Raw genomic sequence first — 25,120 nt, 5'->3', positions numbered from 1 at the left:
AGGAGAGTGCCATGAACCCAGGAGGCAGAGCTTGCAGTGATCATGCCACTGCACTCCAGCCTGGGCAACAGAGTAAGACCGTGTCTCAAAAGAAAAAAAAAAAGCTCCCTTCCACATTATCATGTTAGAATTTTGACCAAAATGATGATGATTTCCCAGATTATTTTGGAAGAATTTATATTTTATACCATACTAAATATTTCTGTTCCCTCACAGGGTATGCCTTTTCACTTAATCACATTTTTTTTCTGTTTTTTTTCCATATAATTCAAATTTATTTGTATGTATTTTATACTTTCACAAATGGATTTATTTTAGATTATGTTTTAATGCATTATAAGATGTTTGATTTTTGAATATTAACATTATATCCTGAAAACTTTCTGAGCTCTCTTTTACTCTTTTACTTTTTAATAGTTTTCAGCTGAATCTCTTAGACTTTCTATTATCTACAAATGATGATAATTTTGTCTTCTTCATTCTAATTTTTAAATTTCTTATTTTGTTCTCTTGTCTATTTGCAATGTCCATCACATAATCTTATGTAGATTATAAGATGAAAATCACTAAGCATGATATCAACTTTTGGTTTAAGAGATGTTTTGATGTAAAGAAATATTCACCGAATCCCATTTTACAAAGAGCATTTATCAGGTATGGACACGAAGTTTTATGAAACGTTTTGTTGATACCTACCATAGGATCATATACTTTTATCTTCCTTTCATCAGTATTAATAGATTTCCTAATATTTAGCCACCTATGCATTCTTGGAATAAAAGTTGCAGTCATGGTGTATTGCTCTTTAACCAAATCTGCTCCTAGATTATATTTGCTGATACTTTATTAAGAATTTTTAAAAATCAATTTTGAGATATTTCTAGCTTTCTCCTGTGTATTATCTATATAAAACAGTCTTACATTGGTTTTTGTTAATTGGCAAGAATTTCTTCTTTCTCTGCCCTAGAACAGTTTAGTATAGAAATTATTTATCCCCTGGAAACCATCATTCTCAGCAAACTAACACAGGAACAGAAAATCAAACACCTCATGTTCTCACTCAGAAGTGGGAGTTGAACAACGAGAACACATGGACACAGGGAGGGAAACATCACACACTGGGGCCTGTTGGGGGGATGGGGGCAAAAGGAGGGAGAGCATTAGGACAAATAACTAATGTATGCGGGGATTAAAACCTAGATGATGGGTTGATGGGTGCAGCAAGCCACCATGGCACACGTATACCTATGTAACAAACCTGCACGTTCTGCACGTGTATCTCAGAACTTAAAGTATTATAATTATAATAATAATAAAAGAAATTATTTATCTTTTTTTCATTTGGTTTTCCAGTTGTGTCATCAAGGGATTGTTCAATGCTCCCTGTGATCGTGAAGTAGACTTTGCCTCCAGATACTGCCCCAATCTGATAGAAAATGATGATGGAGGAAAAACTGCGCTCAGCAGGGCAGAATGTCTTGCAACACCACATTCCTTAGTAATCAATAATGGGTCAGTGGGCTCCAAGGAAGAGTGTTCCTTATTTTTCCAGCAGCTTGCTCATGCCCCTAGCACTTATATTGGTGGGATCTTTTGGAATTTCTTACACTTAGGACCTGCCATACTGCACTGTGCTCATGAACTGGAGATTTGTGTTTGATCATGGGACTCTGTCAACTTGCTCCACATGACATTATATTTGGCATTCTTCATCTTCAGAGTGTGTGGTTTAATGTTGGGGGCTTTCCTCACTGCAATATAGAGTCCTTTTCTTAATTTTCAGTTCTTTTTATTCATTCTTGTTTGCATTGACATAGGGTTTGGAGGTTAACATACACTTCTGCCATCATTTTCCTTATAAGTCCTCACAGATTGTTTCACTTTGGAAAAGTCCATGAGTGTATTAGGCCACTCTTGCATTGCTATAGAGAAATACCCAGGACTGGATAAATTATAAAGAAAAGAGGTTTTAACTGGCTTACAGTTCTGCTGGCTTTATAGGAAGCATGGTGTTGGCACCTGCTTGGCTTCTAGAGAGGCCTCAGGAAGCTTACAATCATGGCAGAAGGCAAAGGGGGAGCAGGCATGTCATGTGGCAAAAGCAAGAGCAAGTGAGAAAGAGACAGAGAGTGAGGGGGAGATGCCACACACTTTTAAACAACCAGATCTCATGTGAACTCAGAGCGAGAGCTCACTTATCACCAAGGGGATGGCCCAAGCCATTCATGAGGGATCTGTCCCCATGATCCAAACATCTCCCACCAGGCCCCACCCCAACATTGGGGATTATATTTCAACATGAGACTTCAGTGGGGACAAATATCGAAACTGTATCAATGAGCAAATAATTTAAAAGATCATTTGGGAAAATAAATTATTATGAGAACCTAGTAAATTTTGAAAACGAAAAGACTTTCCCTATCAGATATTAAACTGTACCATAAGGCTTGCAGTAAATAACTTGGTACTGGTGCTGAAATAGAACAATTAAATGAACGTACAAATGAAATGAAAGTACACCAGGCAAACACTGGTGTCAACGTTTCAACGAAGGCCTAAATTTTGTAATTATGCAGTCCCCAGTGGGTGGAACAGGGGATACTAAACGAGAGACTGAGATTAAGCAGAAGACCCTTGAATGGTGTTTGCTTATTGCAGGTTAGTAACACCCCTTGTCCCTAGCTCCTGGCAGAAGCCAATGCAAATTCTTTCTGGAGGAAAACATCTTTAATTTGGATCATCAGGATCCCATTAATTATTATGAACTAGATCTCAAAGACCACCAAACATTCAAGGAAACGAGTCACTGTGAGAGTTAGCCGAATCTTTAACTAATCACATGGAAACTCCAGGGACTTCAGATATTGGAATTATTAGACACAGAATATAAAATAACTATGCATGGGATATTTATATAAATAAGATTGAAAAAAAAAAAAAAAAGCCTGGCCACAGTGGCTCATGCCTATAATCCCAACACTTTGGGAAGCCGAGGCGGGTGGATCACCTGAGGTCAGGAGTTTGAGATCAGCCTGGCCAACATGGTGAAACCCCGTCTCTACTAAAAAATAAAAAAATTAGCCAGGTGTGGTGGTGGGCACCTATAATCCCAGCTACTCTGGAGGCTGAGGCAGGAGAATCACTTGAGCCTGGGAGGCAAAGGTTGCAGTGAGCTGAGATCCTGCCACTGCACTCCAGCCTGGGCAAAAGTGAGACCCTGTCTCAAAAAAAAAAAAAAAAAAAAAAAAGGTTGAATTTAAAAATGGATAAGTAATCAGACAGTATTGTCTGTGACTGGGAAGATTTAAAAATAACCAAATTGAATCATCTCCTAGTTATACTTTTAAAGTGAAAAAAAATTAAACGGATAACGGCATATATATTATGCTAACTTTTGTGTAAGAAAAAGAGAAAGATAAAAATACATATATGTTTCCTGCATGAGGAAACGCTGGAAGCATATACAAGAAACTAATTAAACTGATTATCTATGGGGGGTGGGCAGGGATGGAGTAGGACTAAAACTTCTCAATTTATACCTTTTAAACGTATACATTTAGTTTTTGAGCAGATAATAAAGCCACATAATTTTTGAATGTGGCTTTATTATCTGCTCAAAAACTATAATTTAAAAAGAATCAAATAGAATTTCCAGAAATGAAGCACAAATACTTTTTTTTTTTAAGAGGCTCATTCCGTTGCCTAGGCTGGAGTGCAGTGACATGATCTTGGCTCACTGCAACCTCTGCCTCTCAGTTTCAAATGATTCTCCTGCCTCAGCTTCCCGAGTAGCTGGGACTACAGGCATGTGTCATCACACCCAGCTAATTTTTGTATTTTTAGTAGAGACAGGGTTTCACCATGTTGGCCAGGCTGGTCTCAAGCTCCTGACCTCAAGTGATCCGCCTGCCTCAGCCTTCCGAAGTGCTGGGATTACAAGCATGAGCCATCTTGCCTGGCCCAAACACAAATACTTTTTACAAAACCTTTCTCAAGTTGATCAGTGAGTGCAAATACACAGTTTGATGGAAATAAGACCTAGTGTTAGATGGAGAGAGAATTTATCAACTAGGAAGACAGATCTAAAGAAATTACCAAATTACCCACAATGAAGAATAAACAGAGAAGATTGTGCAAAATATAAAAGAGAGGTTGAGATATGGAGGATAGAAGGTGAAAATTAGAAATACATATAATTAGGTTTTCAGAAAAGAGAACAGGGAGAAATGAGGAAAGGCAATATTTGAAAACTTTGAGATTTAGGTGTTTATAAAGTCCTAGGTATGTCTCTTCTAGTGTACGAGAGAGTGATTAAAATTTAGTAATGAGGCCAGAGACGGTGGCTCATGCCTGTAATCCCAGCACTTTGGGAGGCTGAGGCAGGTGGATCACTTGAGGTCAGGAGTTCAAGACCAGCCTGGGCAACATGGTGAAACCCCATCTCTAATAAAAATACAAAAATTAGCTGGGCATGATGGCACATGCTTGCAATCCCAGTTACTTGGGAGGCTGAGGCTGGAGGATGGCTTGAATGCAGGAGGCAAAGATTGCAGTGAGCTGAGATCGTGGCCACTGCACTCCAGCCTAGGCAACAAAGTAAGACTCTATCTCAAAAAAATAAATTAAAACATAAAATAAGCCGGGTGCGGTGGCTCACGCCTGTAATCCCAGCACTTTGGGAGGCTGAGGCAGGCGGATCACGAGGTCAGGAGATCGAGACCATCCTGGCTAACACAGTGAAACCCCATCTCTACTAAAAATACAAAAAAATTAGCCGGGCGTGGTGGCGGGCGCCTGTAGTCCCAGCTACTCGGAAGGCTGAGGCAGGAGAATGGCATGAACCCGGGAGGTGGAGCTTGCAGTGAGTGGAGATCACGCCACTGTACTCCAGCCTGGGCGACAGAGCGAGACTCCGTCTCAAACAAACAAACAAACAAACAAAAAACATAAAATAAAATTTACTAACGAGGGGGCCTCCCTGTATTTGGACATGTACAAAACTATTTGAAATGTCAGCACCACGAATTGATGGAGGAGTAGGAGGCAGACAGAAAGACTGAGAAATGGAACTGAAATAATGACTGTCCCAGAGGGCAGCCCCCGATGGCACTGAAAATGGGGAAGTGTGAGGTTCCAAGGAGCTTGGATTGTGGGAATGGTGGTGGCAGCAGAGAGCCAGGAAAAGCAAGCTTGAGCTGACATGCTTACGGGAAATGATTATGTCTCCGAGGGAACCTGTAAAGTTTAAAAATAAACCAATAATTTGTACTCTGTTTACTCTGTGTATTTTTAATTTTTTACCAGAGAAAGGGCACGAGAGTAACTGAGAGAGAGGAGTCCAACTTTGGAAGGAGAGCAGGCCCAGCTGAGGGATCAAAATCAAGAATTAAGATTCAGAATAGTGCATTTCCAAATGAAACCACATGTTTTTAAATTAATGCCCAAACATTTAATCTATTTCTATGCAATCTTTACATAACAAGTGATCATAAGCAGGGATATTTCTTTGGGTCTTTTTTTTGAGACAGGTTCTTGGTCTGTCACCCAGGGTAGAGTGCAGAGGCGTGATCATGGCTCTCAGCAGCCTCAACCTCCCAGGCTTAGATAATCCTCTCACTTCAGCCTCCTGAGTAGCTGGGACTACAGGCACACACCACCATATCCAGCTAATTTTTGCATTTTTTGTAGAGACGGGGTTTCTCCATGTTGCCCAGGTTGGTCTCAAATTCCTGGGCTCAAGTGATCCCCTTGCCTCCCAAAGTGCTGGGGTTACAGGCATAAGCCAACATGCCTGCCCTTTCTTTGAGTCTTTTAGGCAATTTATAAAGAGAATATGGCTAGAGGAATGATTATCATCTATTGAATGTTTACCTATGGCAGGAATAGAGCTAAGTACTTTGGAAACAATTATCTTCATCATCATCATTATCATCACCACCACCATCATCAATCCTATATTAAACTTGATAAAACTGAGGTGTAGGGAGGTTAAGTCATTATCCAGGGTCACCTACCAGTACCTAGCAGAGCTAGGATCCCAACCCAGGGCTTCTAACCTAAGGCTTTGTGCCCTACAACCTGAGCTTGGAAAGTTTATGTGTATACAGAATTATATGAGGCTGGGCTCCGTGGTTCCTGCCTGTAATCTCAGCACTTTGGGAGGCCGAGGCGGGTGGATCACCCGAGGTCAGGAGTTAGACCAGCCTGGCCAACATGGTGAAAGAAACCCTGCCTCTACTAAAAATACAAAAAGTAGCTGGGCATGGTGATGCACGTCTGTAATCCCAGCTTCTCGGGAGGCTGAGGCAGGAGAACCGCTTGAACCTGGGTGGCGGAGGTTGCAGTGAGCCGAGATCATGCCATTGTACTCCAGCCTGGGCAACAAGAGTGAAACTCTGTCTCAAAAAAAAACAACAAAAAAATTACGTGAAGGCAGAAATTTGCTTCATTATTAAAAGATCCTCTGGGTGGTAAACTCAACTTGCTATTTTCTAGTTAAGAGATCAAAAAAAGACTGACCTCAGATAAAAATTACCTGACCTCTGGTACTAAAAATCAAACATTAGCAAATGATTCACTTTGCTTCTCAATGTAAAGGTGACACATTAGTGTGCTATTTTTCAAGTTTCAGTATGATTCACTTTGTTTCCTGCTAAACATATTCCCAGTCTTGCAAACTTTGATTTTAGGGTGGATGAGAATATGTGTCGTAGGTGCCTGTATGTCAAAACAATTTGTAGGATAGTTAATTTTTAAATGCCTCCTGGCAGCCGGTTTAAACATTATTATAACTACTGGCAGAGTTGAGAAGTAAATAATTTTGCCTCCTAGGAAACTACTAAATGAATGACTACTTTCTTTCTTTTTTGTATTTTTCTTTAAAAAGTTTTTTTTTTTTTTGTAGAGACAGGGACTTGCTATGTTGCCCAGGCTGGTCTTGAACTCCTGGCCTCAAACCATCCTGCTGCCTCGACCTCCCAAAGTGCTGGGATTACAGGCGTGAGCCACCGGCTTACTTTCTTGCTTCTTGTAATTGAATTTTCACACTCGACTGCATACTGGAAGTAGCTTCTCTTTCATGTCTCGTGATATTTAAATTTTTATTTTCATTTTTTTCTGCACAACTACTAAAGAACCCCACTCTGCACTCTTGTGCTTTACTAATTCTTGGCCATGTTAGAAACCCCCTGGGTATCCTTTAGCAGACTGGAAAATACCCCAATTCAAGGTATCAATGGCATTTTCCTGAAAGGACATTCTAAGTAAACTGGCTCACAGAGAATACGCTCTGTCATCTGAAGGCATCTTCGTTGCCTGTCCCTGATATTTCTTCACACCAGACCTGGTAAAAATGCACATGTCCCAGTTTCTTTTTTTTTTTTTTTTTTCTTTTTTTGAGACAGAGTCTCGCTCTGTCGCCCTGGCTGGAGTGCAGTGGCACGATCTCGGCTCACTGTAAGCTCCGCCTCCCGGGTTCACACCATTCTCCCACCTCAGCCTCCGGAGTAGCTGGGATTACAGGCGGCAGCCACCGCGCCTGGCTAATTTTTTTGTATTTTTCTTTTAGTAGAGACGGGGTTTCACCGTGTTAGCCAGGATGGTCTCGATCTCCTGACCTCGTGATCCACCCTCCTCGGCCTCCCAAAGTGCTGGGATTACAGGCGTGAGCCACCACATGTCCCAGTTTCAAAAAGCTGTATTACATTGTCAACTGATTCAGACGCCCAAAATCAGTGCACATTATAATCACCTGGGAAGCATTAAAAACTACTGATGCTCAGGTGTCACAAGCAGAGATTCTGATTTCATTGGTCTGGAGTGCCACATGGTCATGGAGATTTTAAAAAACCTCCCCAGGTAATTCTCATGTGCAGCCAAATTTGGAAACCACTGCCTCACAGTCCCAGGTGCAAGTTTAGCCATGGTCCTGTTGGGAGTAGAGCAAAAGGGAAAATGTTCATTCCAGGCAAAACCATGGTGACTACCTTGGGTCTCAGGAAGCACATCCCCTGGAGTCCTTGGAATCCAGTGATGGTAGCTTCCGCCAGTGTTCTTTCTTGGTGTCTGTCTCCCAGGGTCATCATACTTGCCAGAGAAACCTCATCATTGTTTTTACCAATGGAGAGGATGTAGTTGATTTTATTATTATTATTATTGAGACAAGGTCTCTCTCTCTCATCCAGGCCGGAGCACAGTAGCACGATCCTGGCTCACTGCCTCAACCTCCTGGGCTCAAGGGATTCTTCTGATTCACCTGCCTTGGCCTCCCAAAGTGCCCAGATTACTGGTGAAAGCCACCACGCTTGGCCAATTGTATTATTTTTTTAATCCAGCACTTAATGTTGAATTGAGACTATGCCAAGCTTTAATGGCAATACTTGTTGTGTAGAGCCTATTACTAAGTAACACTATTTTATGACAATCACATCATTTTAGTTATATTGGGAAGAAGATTATGGGTGCGTAGAACTCATTTATGGGATGTGGGTCTTCAGTTGTCGTTTATTTGCTTTCAATTGACTCCTTTGTCTTAGGCCACACACATACACATCTTGCCTGGGCTTTAAAATATTTTCCTTTTTCCTGCTTCCCACTCAATCCACCATATCACCTTCCACTGTCTTACTGCCAAATTCTTCAAGAGAACAATCTATACCTTCCACTAATCACCAAGCAGCCCCAAATCTAGCTTCCATCTGTATGGCCCCATGGAAACTCTACCCTCAAAGATGATGAATGGTTTCCTACTAACAAAATCCAATAGCTTCTCACTTCATTTTACTAGTTATTCAACACCATTTAAAATTCAGGCCAGGTGCTATGGCTCGCGCCTATAATCCCAGCACTTTGGAAGGCCAAGGCGGGTGGATCACTTGAGGTCAGGAGTTTGAGACCAGCCTGGCCAACATGGTGAAACCTTGTCTCTACTAAAAATACAAAAATTAGCTGGGCATGGTGGTGGGCACCTGTAATCCCAGCTACTCGGGAGGCTGAGGCAGGAGAATCACTTGAACCAGGGAGGTAGAGGTTGCAGTGAGCTGAGATCACCCCACTGCACTCCAGCCTGAGTGACAAAGTGAGATTGTTTCAAAAAATAAATAAATAAAATAAAATAATATAAAATAAAATTCTATGAGGCCAGATGCAGTAGCTCATGCCTATAACCCCAGCATTTTGGGAGGCCGAGGAGGGAGAATTGCTCGAGCCCAGGAGTTTGAGACCAGCCTGGACAACGTGGTGAAACCCTGTCTCTACAAAAAATACAAAAATTAGCCAGATGTAAAGGCAAGAGCTTGTGGTTCCGACTGCTTGGGAAGCTGAGGTGGGAGGATCACTTGAGCCCGGGAAGCAGAGGTTGCAGTGAGCTGAGATCATGCCACTGTACTTCAGCCTGGGGACAGAATGAGATCCCATCTCAATAAATAAATAAAATTAAATTATATGAAGCAATGGTAATAAAAACAATTCGATCTCGACATAAGGATATATAGATCAGAGAAACATAACTGAGTCCAGAAATAATCTTGGATCTATGTGGGTAATTAATATACAATAAAGGTGAACTGTAAGTAGGCAAAGCGTCTTCTATTTCATCACTAGTGCTGGAGAAGAAAATTAAGAAAATGAAGTGGGATCTTTTCCTCATGTATCACCTATGAAAAGTAAATCTCAAATGGATTAAAGATATAATGTAAAAAAAAGAAGAAAATTTAGGAGAATATGGGCACAAACTTGGGTAAGAAGGGAATTCATAAGCAAATCAGGAAAGCCAGAATTTATAAAGGAAAATATAGATATAATTGGCTACAATAAAGTTTGTGTATACCTATTGAAAAACACCAACAGATATCAAAAGACAAATGATAGGGAAAAAAACACTAGTACCAAGTATAATAGAAAGAGTGGCTCATGCCTGTAATCCCAGCACTTTGGGAGGCTGAGGCAGGTGGATCGCTTGATCCCAGGAGTTCAAGACCAGCCTGGGCAACATGGCAAAACCCTGTCTCTACAAAAAAAAAAAAAAAAAAAAAATAAGTCAGGTATAGTGGTGTGCACCTGTAGTCTTAGCTACTCAGGAGGCTGATGTGGGAGGATCAATTGAGCCTGGGAGGCTGAGGCTGCAGTGAGCTGTGATCATGCCACTACACTCCAGCCTGGGCGACAGAGCTTTCAAAAAAAGGAGCAAAGGGGACAGAGATATAAATAGACAAAAAAAAAAAAAGGTGGGGGGAAGGGGGCAGAGATATAAATAGACCATTTATAGAAAAGGAAATCCAACTCTCCAATAAATGTGGAAGACGGAGGAATAAAAATTAAGGTAATTATGAAATGCCTTTTGGCAGAACGTAAAACAGCAGTGATGATGTGGTAGGAATATGAATTTTTATAGTCTTTAGAAAGGCAATCGGTCTCATCATCTCTGAAAATCAAAAGCATACTTAGCTTTGGCCTTGAAATCTCACCTGATAACCAACCGTCAAGAAAATAACAACACCAGTATGTAAGCATACATATACAAGGATCTTTACTGCAACTATGCTTGTCTGAAATGTCAGAGAGAACTGTGCATGGGGTCTGTCACTTAGATTTGGGGAGCTGGGTCCAGAGAAAACCCTTACAGACAACATACTCTTTTCTAAGTTGATCCTCGTCTTATTATTTATTAATCAGCTCCTCTTTGTCCTTGCTTCTTTTTCTCTTATTGTATGTTTGCAAATAGTGATATGAATATTAAAAAATCTCTCACTTTGATTATATTTTTGTCATTTCCCCCTTATTTCCAGAAGTTTTTATTTTCTATATGTTGATGTCATGTTATTTGATGCATAAAAGATAACAGCTCTTAAATATCAATTATAAAGTATGTGTCTTCTAAAAATTTAATTATTTTCCCTGAATTCATCTAAAATAACAACCACAATCCTCACTTTTTAGTTTGCATTTTCCTCATATATATCTGTCCATCTTTTTATTATTCTGTGCCACTTTTGTGTTCTTATGTAATCAATCACATTTTAAATTCTACTTATGGTTTCCTTTAAGATTTTTAAAAGCATTATTTAAGTTATAATTCTCTATTTGTCAATGATGGGATTTAAAAAGAAGAATTTGTGGCTGGGTGCTGTGGCTCATGCCTGTAATCCCAGCATTTTGGGAGGCTGAGGCAGGCGGATCACCTGAGGTCAAGAGTTGGAGACCAGCCTGACCAACATGGTAAAACCCTGTCTATACTAAAAATACAAAAAATTAGCTAGGCGTGGTGGCGGGCGCCTGTAATCCCAGCTACTCTGGAGGCTGAGGCAGGAGAATTGCTTGAACCCGGGAGGCAGAGGTTGCAGTGAGCCAAGATCGCACGCACCACTGCACTTCAGCCTGGGCAACAAGAGCGAGACTCCATCTCCAAAATAAAAATAAAAATAAATATAAATAAAAAGGAGAATTTGCTTTCCTTATTTAATATGAGGCATTTAGAAAGCATTTGCTCCCTTTGCTTTTGAAAGAGCACTTGAAACAGCAATTCTGGATGAACCCTGCATGTGGCAGTGGTCTTCATTTTTGTGGTATGAAGGTGTTTCTTATTAATCTACAGGGTGGAAGGAGGGCAGGAAATTAGGCTACTTAGCTGCATGCTCTCTCATTCCAGGGAGAACCATCTTTACTGCTTTTGGTCTCAGGTCTCTCACTGTAGCAACCAGTCTGGTAGATTTGTGACTCTTTGGCAAAGTAGACAGGACAAGATAGGGGTTAAGAGCGTGATCTCTGGGGTCCCTCCACTAAGGTTGCACCCTGACTTCATCACTTACCAGTTGGGTGGCTTTGGATGATTCACCTAACATGTTTTGCTTCCTCATCTGAATAAATTGGGATGGCAATAGCATAATTCCAAAGGATGATTTTGAGGTTTAAATTATATAATCCATACTCCTGGCACATAGTAAATGCTCATTAAATGCTAACTGCTCTTTTTATTTTTATCATCATCATCATCATCATCATCTATGAAAGGGGATTGATGAATTTATAGAATCATTTCTGCCAGAGCCCAACAAAGTGGCATAACAATGTTTGCTCTCTCCTGCCCTAGAACTTTCTGCTCACAATGTTTCCACAGACCAAACACACGCTAGCTAATAATAGGACAATCACAGATCAGTTAATGAAGAGTACGTGTATTATCGACAGAGTGGAAACTGAGACTTTGTTCTGTTTACTCATTCCCCTTATATATCATAAAGGTCAAGTTCTAACCACCTCCAGAAATAAGGTGCTCCGTGCAGAGCCCTCTTTCCCTAATCTCTCTATAGCTCATCTTCCCTCTTCCTTCTACAGCCCTCTCAGAAGTCTCCACATTTCCCAGTTCTCACTTCAAATTTCCTGGAAAACTCAGCCTCGTTCTAGGGGAGATAGAAGTTGTGCCCCTGGGAACTTCAAAATGCAAATTTAACTTCACCTGACTGCTAGTGCAGGCATCCTCTGCTCAGACCATCAGCTTCAAAGAGAGGAAGGGACCCTGGCCCATCAGTCGGGGTAGATGATGAATTCCCCTCTGGATTAATTTTCCCTCCAACAACAGCCATGGCTGATTCAGTCTCACAAGTTCCTTACGCAGCAAACTCACTTCATCATGGAGCTGAGGAATTGGCAAACTTCTTCTGGCAAGAGCCAGATAATAAATATTTTCGATTTTGTAGGCCAGGTGTTCTCTGTTGTAAGTCCTCAAGTCTGCCATGTTGCACAAAAGTAGCCACAGATGATACCTAAATGAATGGGTGTGGCTGTGTCTCAATAACTTTATTTATGGACACTGAAATGTGAATTTCATATGATTTTCATGTCATGAAATATTATTCTGCTGATTTTCTCCTCAATCATGTAAAAGTATAAAAACCATTCTTAGCTTGCGAGCACACCAAAACAGCTGGCAAACTGGAATTGGCCCATAGGCTGTTTGTTCACTGACACAGATACAGCCACATCACTAAGCGGTGTTTGGTCCTGCCTTGCTGACCTTTTTCAGTATCCTACTTGTGGGGGCCACAGCCCTGGTGGTCTCATAACCATACCCAGTCCTTCCCTCCTACCTGCCAAGCTTTCTGCTCAGTTCTTGTCTTTTGACTGAAGAGTACAAAATTATTCTCCTTTATTTTATTCTTTATGGATTTAGTTTTTATATATGTCATGGTAAGAACGGTTGATATGGTGAGAATATATTCTCTTCCCAATTATTCCAGCACAATAGCACCAATGTTTATTATATTGAATGGAAGTTTTCTTCCTGGGAAATCTGTGATGGCTTTTAAAGAAGTCTTATATTGGTCAGGCGCGGTGGCTCCTGCCTGCAATCCCAGCACTTTGGGAGGCCGAGGTGGGTGGATCACTGGAGGTTAGGAGTTTGAGACCAACCTGGCCAATGTGGCGAAACCCTATCTCCACTAAAAATACAAAAATTAGCCGGATGTGATGGCAGGCACCTGTAATCCCAGCTAGTCGGGAGGCTGAGGCGGGAGAATCGCTTGAACCCAGAAGGCAGAGGTTTCAGTGAGCCGAGATCACGCCACTGCACTCCAGTCTGGGCAACAGAGTGAAGCTCTGTCTCAAAAAACAAACAAACAAACAAAACAAAACAAACAGAAAAACCCTTATATTGAGTATTAGGATCTGTTTCTGGGCTAATTTGTCTCTCCTATTAATCTCTGCCAAATCCTGTGTGTTCAACTTTGATTTTATTCTTATAGTTTTATGATATTGTATGAAACTATATCCCATAGTTCTATAATTTTATAATTTTAATAGAGAGCAGAGCTAGTTTTCCCTGTTGGGCTTTTAGTTTTCAAAATTGTTTAGCTATTTGAAGCAGAATTCAGACTGACTCCTTCTATACCATCCAAATCCCTCTCCTCTTCCTCACTAGGGGCTGAAGAAGCTGAACACTCAAGTTCCCAATCTCCTTTGTTGCTCTGGGCAGACAGAAAGTACAGTTCCAGTTAATTAAGCAGAAGTGAGGTCTACTAGGGGAGTTTCTGGGAAAGTTTTTACTTCGCTGATACCGTGAACAACTGTGGCTGTTCCTTCTTTTTCCCCCTCTTTCTGTCTTGAAAGCAGATGTATGCTAACCATCTTGAACTTAAGAACCATTTTGTCAAGTTAAAAAAAAAAGTGAAGGCCGGGTATGGTGGCTCATACCTGTAATCCTAGTGCTTTGGAAGGCCAAGGTGGAAGGATTGCTGGAGCCCAGGAGCTGCAGGCTGGAGTGAGTTATGACTGCACCATTGCACTCCAGCCTGGGTGACAGAGCAAGATCCTGTCTCTAAAAAAAAAAAAAAAAAGAAATTAAGTCAGTTAAGCCAGGCGGCTTTGTACAGCTCTGTGGAATGACAGAACTTATAAAATGTCCTTTCTCTAGAGCTGTGGGGAAAATGAGGCAAATACTGTATGGGCAACCTCCTGAATGTGTTTCATTTATTCATCTATAATAGCAGGGCTTGGATAAATCTTTCCTATATGCTATGTGTGGGGCTAAGAAATGACCTTATTGTCAAAGGTTGATGAATGCACAGATACAGGGTAAGAAGCCAATCTGGAATGATGGTTTCCATTTTCCACTTGAGAGTTTAAGCCTGGGCAGCAGATACCTGCTCTGTGAACTCTTTACATGAGCAACTTCCCAGCACAAATTGTTCTCATTTCCCAGGCTCACATGTCCACCAGTCCCTACTTTCTGAGGATGACTTTTTCTGTCTCAGATTCCCTTGTGTAGGGAACATTCTCTTCCAGTGAACCTGGCTACCCCACTGGAGCTTGTGGCTGTAGGAGACATGCTTGGAGCCAGTTGTTACTACAGGGGCCTGAGATAAGCCAAGGGTACCAGATGACTGTGAATTACAGGCACTGTTGAGTGTGTGCTTTGAGACCAGAAAGAGGAAAGCTTTTTACTCAAAGCAGAAGTAAAACAGGCTTTTGTGGGGGAAGTGGAAATTAGCTGGTAGGAGTTCTTTGTACCACACATATAAAAATAGGAGTGCTCCTGGAGAGGAGTGCAGCTGGCAGGGACCTGTGGTTGGTCAAAGTGATCAGCAACGTTGCTTGCAAGCCAAAACCATGAGTCACCTTCAGTGGAGCCTGGTGTCCTGAATCCAACACTTTCCTTCTTTGTCCCCATAACTGTGACCTCCCTTCAGAGGTTTTCTGAGGAAACTCAAGACCTGTACCCATTGAAATATGGAGGGACAGCCTGACCTCTTAAGCTTAGAATGTTGAGGCCTGAGCTTGCTCTGGGGCTAGAAAGCTCTGATCCTAGGCCGGATAATTTACTGAGTTATTTGTCTTTGTTTTCTTTGTACATTACTCAGCCTTCAGGGCAGGTAGCCAGGACTTTGAGCTTTCAGGGCCCAAAGAAGAAGCCTGCACATCACTTTCCGTCCTGACTTTTTCCTCCTTCACTCTGAGGGATTTGAGCATGCTGCGCTAGGAGAAGAAGTGGTAGAGTGTTTTTGAGAGACACAGTCCTTAAGATTATTCCCCAAGGGAAGGAAAGGATATGCACAGTTTTTAAAATAATGGGGCTCTGTGGCCCACCCTCCATAGAATCTCAGGAAGATGACAGGGTGTCCGGGAGCCATGACTGCATGTTGAGCCTAGAAAGGTCTTTCTGACTCTGGGTATGGAGGCTCTCAGCTCTGGCAAAGATTTCCAGGGGAACAACAGGGATGTCCAACTTCACTCTATAAGCTTGGCCAGCAGGCAACTTGGTGGAAACCTCGTAGATAAGGGGTTGGCCCATAGGTCAAATCTGGGCCGTCGTCTGTTTTTGTATAACCTATGAGCTTAGAATGGTGACATTTTAAAGTGTTTGGGAAAAAAAATCATATTTTATGACCCATGCAATTATATGAAATTCAAATTTCAGTGTCCATAAATAAAGTCTTCCTGGGATACAGTCAAGTTCATTCATTTTCCTACTGTCTACGGCTGCTTTTAAGCAACAATGGTAGAGTTGAGTGGTTGTGACAGAGAGCTGCTTGGATTGCAAAGCCTAAAATATTGACTATCTGTTCTCTACAGAAAAAGTTTGTGGATCTCTGATGTAAACCAATGACCAGACATACCGCATGAATGTTTGGCTTCACATAAACACTCCTGGCCATTAGCTCTGGGACTGGGCATGGGATTTGGAGGTGGGGAAGAGAAGGCAATCCTCTCAACCTCTGAAATTAAATTTCCCACTAGCTGAGCAGAAAGGAAGCTCAGTGTCATGCCTACCATAATTTAAAGTAAGTAAAGCCATATGAACTTTCTGGAACATTCAGGTTTGTGTTGCAAATTGATTCCTATCATGCTTTATCTCATAAGCCTCCCTGGCAAAGACTTTCTATTAGACAATCATGGCTTTTGTTTTACTGGTTCCATTATGGAAGTAACACCCTTAGGTCTCCTCAATCTCAGCGTGTCCAAATCCTACCATTAGAGCCCAACTTAAACATTCTCCCTCCTCTCTGCCCCTAGTAGTCTTGACCTGCTTTTTCGACTTGCAGGTCCACCTAAGATTTTTCGGCATAAACTTACTTTCAGATATTATGACTGGTTTTCCTCAGAGTCTTGGACAATTTCTCCCAAATTAGAAAGTTTTGATGGGATGTCTCCACCCTCTGAATCTTCCCTGGATTCTGTTGCCCACATCACATTATGGTAATTCATTTACAGGCATACCTCAGAGATATTGTAGTTCAATTCCATACCACTCCAATAAGGCAAATATGGCAATAAAGTGAGCCATACAAGTTTTTGGTTTCTTAGTGCATATAAAGTTATGTTTACAAGGGTGTGGTGTCTCTTATCTGTAATTCTAGCACTTTGGGAGGCCAAGGAGGGAAGATCACTTGAGGTCAGGAGTTCAGAACCAGCCTGACAATATGGTGAGACCCCCTATCTCATGAAAAAGAAAAAAAAAGTGTCATTTTTATGCATTGGCATTTCCTCCAGGTGATGAAATTTTAAAAATTAGCTGGGTGTGGTGGTGCATGCCTCTGGTCCTAGTTACTTGGGAGGCTGAGGCCGGAGGATCGCTTGAGCCCTGGACTTTGAGGCTGCAGTGCGAGACGATTGCACAATTTCCCTCCAGTCTGGGTGACAGAGCAAGACCCTGTCTCTAAAATAAAAAAAAGTTATGAGTTATGTTTACACTATACTGGAGTCTATTAAGTGTGCTATCACATTATGTCTAAAATATGGACTTATCTTAATTTAAAAATACCTTATTGCTAAAAATGCTAATGATCATGTGAGCCTAATGATCATCTGAGCCATTTAGCAAGTCATAATATTTTTGCTGGTGAGGGGGGTCTTGCCTCAATGTTGCTGACTGCTGACCCATCAGGGTGGGGATTGCTAAAGGTTGCGGTGGCTGGGAAAATTTCTTAACTAAGACAACAATGAAGTTTGTTGCATTGGTTGATTCTTCCTTTCATGAAAGATTTCTTGGTAGCGTGCAATGCTGTTTAATAGCATTTTACTAACAGTAGAGCTTCTTTCAAAAATGGAGTCAATCCTTGCAAACCCTGCCAGTACTTCTTCAACTAAGTTTATGTAATATTCTAAATCCTTTGTTATCATTTCAACAGTGTTCACAGAAAATTCACCACATGTCAATTTCATCTCAAGAAACCACTTTCTTTACTCATACATATGAAGCAATTCCTCATTCATTCACGTTTTATCATGAGATTGCAGTAATTCAGTCACATCTTCAGGCGCCACTTCTAATTCTAGTTCTCTTGTTATTTCCACCACATCTGCAGTGACTTCCCCCCACTAATGTATTGAACCCCTCAAAGTCATCCATGAGGGTTAGAATCAGTTTCTTCCAAACTCCTGTTAATATTGATATTTTGACCTCTTCCTATGAATCACAAAAGCTTTTTTTTTTTTCTTAATTGAGACAGAGTTTCACTCCTGTCGCCCAGACTGGAGTGCAATGAAGCAATCTGGGCTCACTGCAACCTCCACCTCCCGAGGTCAAGCAATTCTCCTGCCTCAACCTCCTGAGTAGCAGGGATTATAGGTGCCTGCCACCACGCCCAGCTAATTTTTGTATTTTTAGTAAAGACAGGGTTTCACCATGTTGGCCAGGCTGGTCTCGAACTCCTGATCTCAGGTGATCCACCCACCTCAGCCTCCCAAAGTGCTGGGATTACAGGCGTGAGCCACCGCACCCGGCCCACAAATGCTCTTAAAGGCATTTAGAATGATGAATCCTTACCAGAAGTTTTTCAATTTACTTTGCCCAGATCCATCAGAGGAATCACTGTCTGGCCTTATGAAACGTATGACAGATCCAACCTTATGAAATGTATTTCTTAAATAATAAGATTTGAAAGTCAGAATGACTCCTTGATCCATGGGCTGCAGAATGGATGTTGTGTTAGTAGGCATAAAAATGACATTAATTTCCTTTTATATCTCAATCAGAACTCTTGGGAACTCTTGGGTGACTAGTTACGTTGTCAGTGAGCAGTTATCTTTTGAAAGGGATCTTTTTTCCTGAGCAATAGGTCTCAAGAGTGGGCTTAAAACATTCAGCAAACCAGTCTGTAAACAGATGTTTTGTGATCTAGCACTCTCTACAGGCAGAGTACATTTTGTATAATTCTTAAGACCCTAGAATTTGGGGAATGGTAAATGAGCATCGGTTTTAACTTAAAGTCAACAGCTGTATTAGCTTCTAATGAGAGAGTCAACCTGTCTTCTGAAGCTTTGAAGTCAGGCATTGACTTCTCTCTAGCTGTGAAAGTCCTAGATGGCATCTTCTTCCAATAGAAGGTTGTTTCATCTACAAAATATGTTGTTTAGTGTAGCCACCTTCATCAATGATCTTAGCTACATCTTCTACATCTTCTGGATAACTTGCTATAGCTTCTGTATCAGCACTGCCTCAACTTGTACTTTTTTATGTTATGGAGACAGCCTCTTTCCTTGTGTTTGTTTGTTTGTTTGTTTGTTTGTTTGCTTGTTTGGTTTGTTTGTTTTTTTAGACAGGGGTTTGCTCTGTCACCTAGGCTGGAGTGCAGTGGCATGATCATGGCTCACTACAGCCTTGACCTTCCAGGCTCAAGTGATCTTCCCATTTCAGCCTCCCAAGCAGCTGGGACTATAGGTGAGCACCACCATGCCCAGCCAATTTTAAAAAAATCATTTTTCATAGAGATGAGGTCTTGTTATATTGCCCAGGCTGGTCTTGAACTTTTGAGCACAAGTGATCCTCCCATCTTGGCCTATCAAAGTGCTAGGATTACAGGCATGAGCCACTGTGCTTGGCCAGCTTCTTCCCTTAAACCTCATGAACAAATCTCTGCTTGTTTCAAGCTTTTCTTCTGAAGCTTCCTCACCTCTCTTAGCCTCATAGAACTGAAGAGTCTTAGGCCCTTGTTCTGGATTAGCCTGTGGCTTAAGGGAATGTTGTGGCTGGTTTGATCTTCTATACAGACCGTTTGAACTTTCTCTATATCAGCAATAAGGCTGTTTTGCTTTCTTATCATTCGTGTGTTCACTGAGTAGCACTTTTAATTTCTTTCAAGAACTTTTCCTTTGCATTCACAACTTGGTTGTCTGGCGCATGAGGCTTAGCTATGAGCCTTTTTTGGTTTTTGACATGCCTTCCTCACTAAGCTTAATCATTTCTAGTGTTTATTTAAAGGGAGAAATGTGTGACTCTCCCCTTGACTTGAACACTTACAGACGGATGTGGGGTTATTAATTGATTTAATTTCAGTATCGTTGTGTCTCAGGGGATCCCTATTCCCTATGAAGGCCAAGGAGAGTGAGAGAGACAGAGAAATGGCCAGTTGGTGGGGCAGTCAGTACACACACATTTATCAAGTATGTTTACCATCTTATATGGGCATGGTTTGTGGCACCCCAAAACAGTTACAATAGCAACGTCAAAGATCACAGATCATAAATCACTGTAACAGACATAATAATGGAAAAGTTTGAAATATTTCAAAATTATCAAAATGTGACACTGAGACATGAAGTGAGCACATGCCATTGGAAAACTGGCACCGATAGCCTGCTGGACTCAGGGTTGCCACAAGACTTCAATTTGTAAAAAACACAATATCTGTAAAGTACACTCAAGCAAAGCACAATAGAATGAGATACACTTATACATTTCTTGTGAGTTTCTGAGTTCAGGGACTGAATCTCAGGTAGGTGAGCCATACTGGACAAGAATCAGCACGACCCGGGTTCGAACTCTGGTTCTTCCACTGGCTGTATGACCACTGCCGATCATTAACATTTTCAAGCCTTCATTTCCTCATCTGCAAAATTCCAGCAACAACCCCTATGCCTCCAGAAGTGTGAGAATTAAATGAGATAGTGCCTGAAAGTGCATTTTAGGACCACCTCTGTCTCCTTTGCGGTCCAACGCAGGAGGCATACAAAATTGCTGACGCTCCTGTCTGTGGCTACCACACTGCGGGCAAGATAAGGCCTAGCTTTGGAAAAAACACTTTGCACCACGCATTTTCCCCTTCTTTGGAGGGTTGTAACTAGTCCTGAGAATTAATACCATTCTCTCACCCTCCCACTGTGCCTCTAACAAACACAGCATAATCTCATGATCATAGCTGTGATGGGAATACCCAAGAGAACAGCGGGGGGAGAGTCTGAATGGGATCAGATGTCAGAGTGGGGGGCGGCCTGGAGAGGCCCCAAGGCCAGGAAGAGGAGCAGAGCTGACCGATGCTTCCACTGATGCTGCAAGCTGATGCACACTCGGAGCCCCCAACCCTTTTGGAGTACACTGGTATCTGCCACCCAGCCACCAGTGCCATGGCTGATAATGTGACTTTGCGTGAGATGTGACAGTTGCCTCTCTGCTCCTGCTTGGCCCTGGCTTTTGTGTAATCTCATTGGAAAGAGAGCCGATTATCCTTGAGAGGCCAAACAAATCTCAGGATGTACATCCTGCAGAGACAGGCTAATTTCACAACCCTCCAAGTTTATTTATTTTTTTTAAAAAAAGGAGATATTATTTGTACTTCTTCCCGTGAAATGTGCTCTGTGCAGTTACTTTGATTACCTCCTTCAACCACTTAGCTGCTTCACCTCTCTGAACCAGCTCCTTCGGAGGGATGTCGCCTCCATCGGATGGGGCAGGATCAGAGGCTGGGAGTCAGAAATCTTGTTTTCTGGCTTTGCCCTAATCCTGCTTTTATACTCTTTTCTGTTCCTTTTCCACAATGAAAGACTGAAATAGAGGCATTGTCCACCTCTAAGATTGCTGTGAGGAAGTCCCTGGGGAGGTACGTTGACAGGAGCCAGGCTGACCTTGTACCAATTCCTCGTCTAAGACACTTACAGGAAGTCGTTCTGGCGTGAGAAGAGGCTACTTTGGGGAAGAGGCTGAGTTCACCCTGGAGCCCCAGCCTGCACCTTGCACTGCCATTTTCTTCTCCATCGCAGTCTCTGCCAAGAGTCTCCGCCAAGAGTCTCCCTGCTTCCAGGCATGTTTGACAGACTGTGTGCCGGTGGAATCATCCCGTGAGGCCTTCATGGCTGGGGCAGGTCCCCCTTTAAAGGATCTTTGTAGTGGATCCATCCTCAGCGTTCTGAGGCACAATAGGTGGTTATCCTCCCTCCTGCACCTGCAATCTCTCCTCCAAGAGAGCATTTTTATCAACATGAAAACATGCTCTCTGCTTCCAGGTCCAAAAACAAACACATAAAAACCCAGAATAGGCTGAGTGCAGTGGCTCATGCCTGTAATCCCAGCACTTTGGGAAGCTGAGGCGGGAGAATTGCTTGAGCCCAGGAGTTAAAGACCACCCTGGGCAACTTGGCGAAACCCCGTCTCTACAGAAATACAAAAACATTAGCTGTGTGTGGTGGTGCGTGCCTGGGGTCCCAGCTACTCGGGAGGCTGAGGTGAGAGGATCACTTGATCCTGGAGAGGTTGAAGCTGCAGTGAGCTATGATTGTGCCCCTGCACTCCAGCCTGGGCAACAGAGTGAGACCCTTTCTAAAAACGACATAAAACGAAAAAAAACTCAAATAACCCGCCTTAGAGCCCATGTTCCTCTTTTTTTTTTTTTTTTTTTTTTTTTTTGAGACAGAGTCTCACTCATCACCCAGGCTGGAGTGCAGTGGCGTGATCTCTGCTCACTGCAACCTCTGCCCCCCAGGTTCAAGCGATTCTCCTGTCTCAGCCTCCAGAGTAGCTGGGATTACAGCTGCCCACCATCACCCTAGCTAATTTTTGTATTTTTAGTAGAGACAGGGTTTCACCATGTTGGCCAGGCTGGTCTCGAACTCCTGACCTCAGGTGATCCGCCTGCCTTGGCCCCTGAAAGTGCTGGGATTACAGGTGTGAGCCACCATGCCCAGTGAATGCTCCTCTTTGGATGCGACTCATTTTCTCTATTCTCCTTTTCAGCCAAACTTCTTGAGAGTGTCAGTTACCCTGACTGCCTCCACCCCACCCACTCTGCCTCCTATTCCACCTGCAACCCATAGCAGTGTGGTTTCTAGCTGAGGCTTCTTGCCATCAAAACTTCTCTCCTGAAGCTTGCTTTCTTGCAGTTCTCACCTTATTTGATCACTGTTGATTCCTCTCTTGTTTTTTTCAGTCTGCTTTCCTTTGGGCCCCATGACATCTCACAATCCTGGGTTTTTCTCTTACTTCTCTGGCCACTTTTTCTTAGTCTCTAATTCCTTGGCTTTATATGCCATCAGAGAGCACACTTCTTACAACAGAATGGCTCTTCGCAGTGTGGGAGCAGTTGGCTCTGATGTGTAAGGCCAGGTTGGGTCAGGATAAGCCCAGGGAAGAGGAAAACTGGGTTTTCAGCCCATGGGAATCACTGAAGAAGCAGCTCAACCAACCCTCTTTTCTCATCTGAGAAAGCCACTCATTGGGGGCTGTCGAAGGGGGATAGACTGTGACGGGGTCTGTGAACTGGGGATCCTTGATTGGCCCAGGGCCCCCCCAAGTGGGGATCTCTCAGTCAGATGGGTTAGCTTTGGCTCTCAAAATACATTATTTGCCCAGGAGTGGTGGTGCATACCTGTAGTCTCAGCTACTCGAAAGGCTGAGGCAGGAGGATTGCTTGAGCCCAGGAATTTCTGGGCTATCGTGTACTACGAGTGCACCCATGGACCACTGCACTGCAGCCTGGGCAACATAGTAAGACCTCACCTCTTAAAAAAATGATCTGAATGATTCCATTTATGTGAAATATCGAGAATAGGCAAATCATAGAGATAGAAAGCAAATCAGTGGTTTCCAAGTTCTGGAAGAGAGAGTGGGAAATGACTGCTTAATGGGTATGAAGTTTCCTTTCAAGGTAATGAAGATTTCTGCAATGAAATAGTAGTGATGGTTATACAGCATTGTGAATGTACCAGGTGTTAACTAATGTCTAAAAAAAAAAATCATGACCAGGTGTGGTGGCTCATATCTGTAATCCCAGCACTTTGGGCGGCTGAGGTGGGTGGATCTCCTGATGTCAGGGGTTTGAAACGAGCCTGGTCAATATGGCAAAACCCCGTCTCTACTAAAACTACAAAATTAGCTGGGCGTGGTGGTGCATGCCTGTAATCCCAGCTATTTGGGAGGCTGAGGCAGGTGAATGGCTTGAACCTGGGAGGTGGAGGTTGCAGTGAGCCAAAATTGCGCCATTGCACTCCAGCCTGGGCAAAAAGATTGAAACTCCGTCTCAAAAAAAAAAAAAAAAAAATCATCTGGGGTTTACCCCTGAAGAGGAACCACCACTGCTGAATTAAGTCACCTAGACCAGCGATGCACTCAAGGTCAACCATGATGAGGAGATAAGGAACTCTAACCTGGAAATGACTCTTCCCACCAAAACAATTGGAAACCACACTTTCCCATAATACAGAATGTGCTATTCCATAAGATAGCCGTAAGAGGACTTCTAAATTATATTAATTAACAGTGAACTGTGTGGTGTGACCATAGAATACACGCTTACAGTTGCTTTTTGTTTTTGTTTTTGAGACATAATCTCGCTCTGTTGCCCAGGCTGGAGTGCAGTGGTGCAATCCTGGCTCACTGCAACCTCAGCTTCTTAGGTTCAAGCGATTCTCCTGCCTCAGCCTCCTGAGTAGCTGGGATTACAAGCATGCGTCACCACGTCCAGCTAATTTTTGTATTTTTAGTAGAGATATGGTTTCACCATGTGGGCCAGGCTGGTCTGGAACTCCTGACCTCACGTGATCCACTTGCCTCAGCCTCCCAAAGTGCTAGGATTACAGGCGTGAGTCACCACGCCCGGCCAGTTGTTTTATAAACTATTTTTTCTTTCAAACTGGTATTTATGTGACTATGATGAGGTCAGATTTAACGTTTTGGTGGAGCGTTCTGATAGCCTGAACTGAGGCTGAGGAAGAAAGCTAATTTGAAATATCTAAGGCCTTGAACTGTCAGGACTCTGTAACCTTTTGGAGAAGTCTAGAATTACCCTTGACAAGTGAGGTGAGTGAACACTGCACTGTGCGAGTCCTTAACAGATGTTGTCTCATTGTATTTCTCACAGCAACCCTATGAGGGGACACAGGACAGCTGGGATCTGAACTAAGTATTTATGAGTCTGTGAGCCTACGTGAGTCCATCAACCAGAACTGGCCAGGAGAAGAAGCTGCTGGTGCCCTAGGGGTTCTGCTTGTGGATGCGAGCGCATTCATGATGGCATTTATCTTACTGGGCCTCCAGTCTGGTGTGGCTGCAGGAGACGTGAGCTACATGCTCAGCCTGTCTGGAACCTTGACGTTTTTCTGTCTCGCGGATGAACAAAACTTCTAGAGTTTGCTTACTTGTCAATTTCCCCCTCACTTCATTTCCTGACTTGTAAACAGGCAGGATGAGAGCAGGTGACTGGCACTTATGATAACCCAAGAGCTCTGCTGTGCTCAGCATATCCTGTTATTATAGGCCTCCAGTCTGCTTTGATATCTACCGTCCAATTTTCCCTCCTTTTCCCGGAACTGTAGTTAGGGGAGGGATTGGATTTATGGGGATAAAAATTTAAATTTTCCAGCCTGGGCAACATGATGAAACCTCATCTGTACAAAAAATACAAAAATTAGCTGGGTGTGGTGG

At 42.6% G+C, this 25,120-nt stretch overlaps 4 annotated features.

Moving 5' to 3' along the window:
- Positions 14,560-14,799: an enhancer, noted in NCBI's record as "active region_28809". NCBI's record gives its function as "activates an Ori minimal core promoter by ATAC-STARR-seq in GM12878 lymphoblastoid cells {active_cell/tissue: GM12878}" and the evidence as "EXISTENCE:reporter gene assay evidence [ECO:0000049][PMID:35858748]".
- Positions 14,840-14,889: an enhancer, noted in NCBI's record as "active region_28808". NCBI's record gives its function as "activates an Ori minimal core promoter by ATAC-STARR-seq in GM12878 lymphoblastoid cells {active_cell/tissue: GM12878}" and the evidence as "EXISTENCE:reporter gene assay evidence [ECO:0000049][PMID:35858748]".
- Positions 15,130-15,269: an enhancer, noted in NCBI's record as "active region_28807". NCBI's record gives its function as "activates an Ori minimal core promoter by ATAC-STARR-seq in GM12878 lymphoblastoid cells {active_cell/tissue: GM12878}" and the evidence as "EXISTENCE:reporter gene assay evidence [ECO:0000049][PMID:35858748]".
- Positions 15,380-15,429: an enhancer, noted in NCBI's record as "active region_28806". NCBI's record gives its function as "activates an Ori minimal core promoter by ATAC-STARR-seq in GM12878 lymphoblastoid cells {active_cell/tissue: GM12878}" and the evidence as "EXISTENCE:reporter gene assay evidence [ECO:0000049][PMID:35858748]".

Source organism: Homo sapiens, chromosome 9 (assembly GCF_000001405.40).
Source record: "Homo sapiens chromosome 9, GRCh38.p14 Primary Assembly".
Taxonomy (NCBI): domain Eukaryota; kingdom Metazoa; phylum Chordata; class Mammalia; order Primates; family Hominidae; genus Homo; species Homo sapiens.
This window is presented reverse-complemented; position numbering and strand designations above follow the sequence as displayed.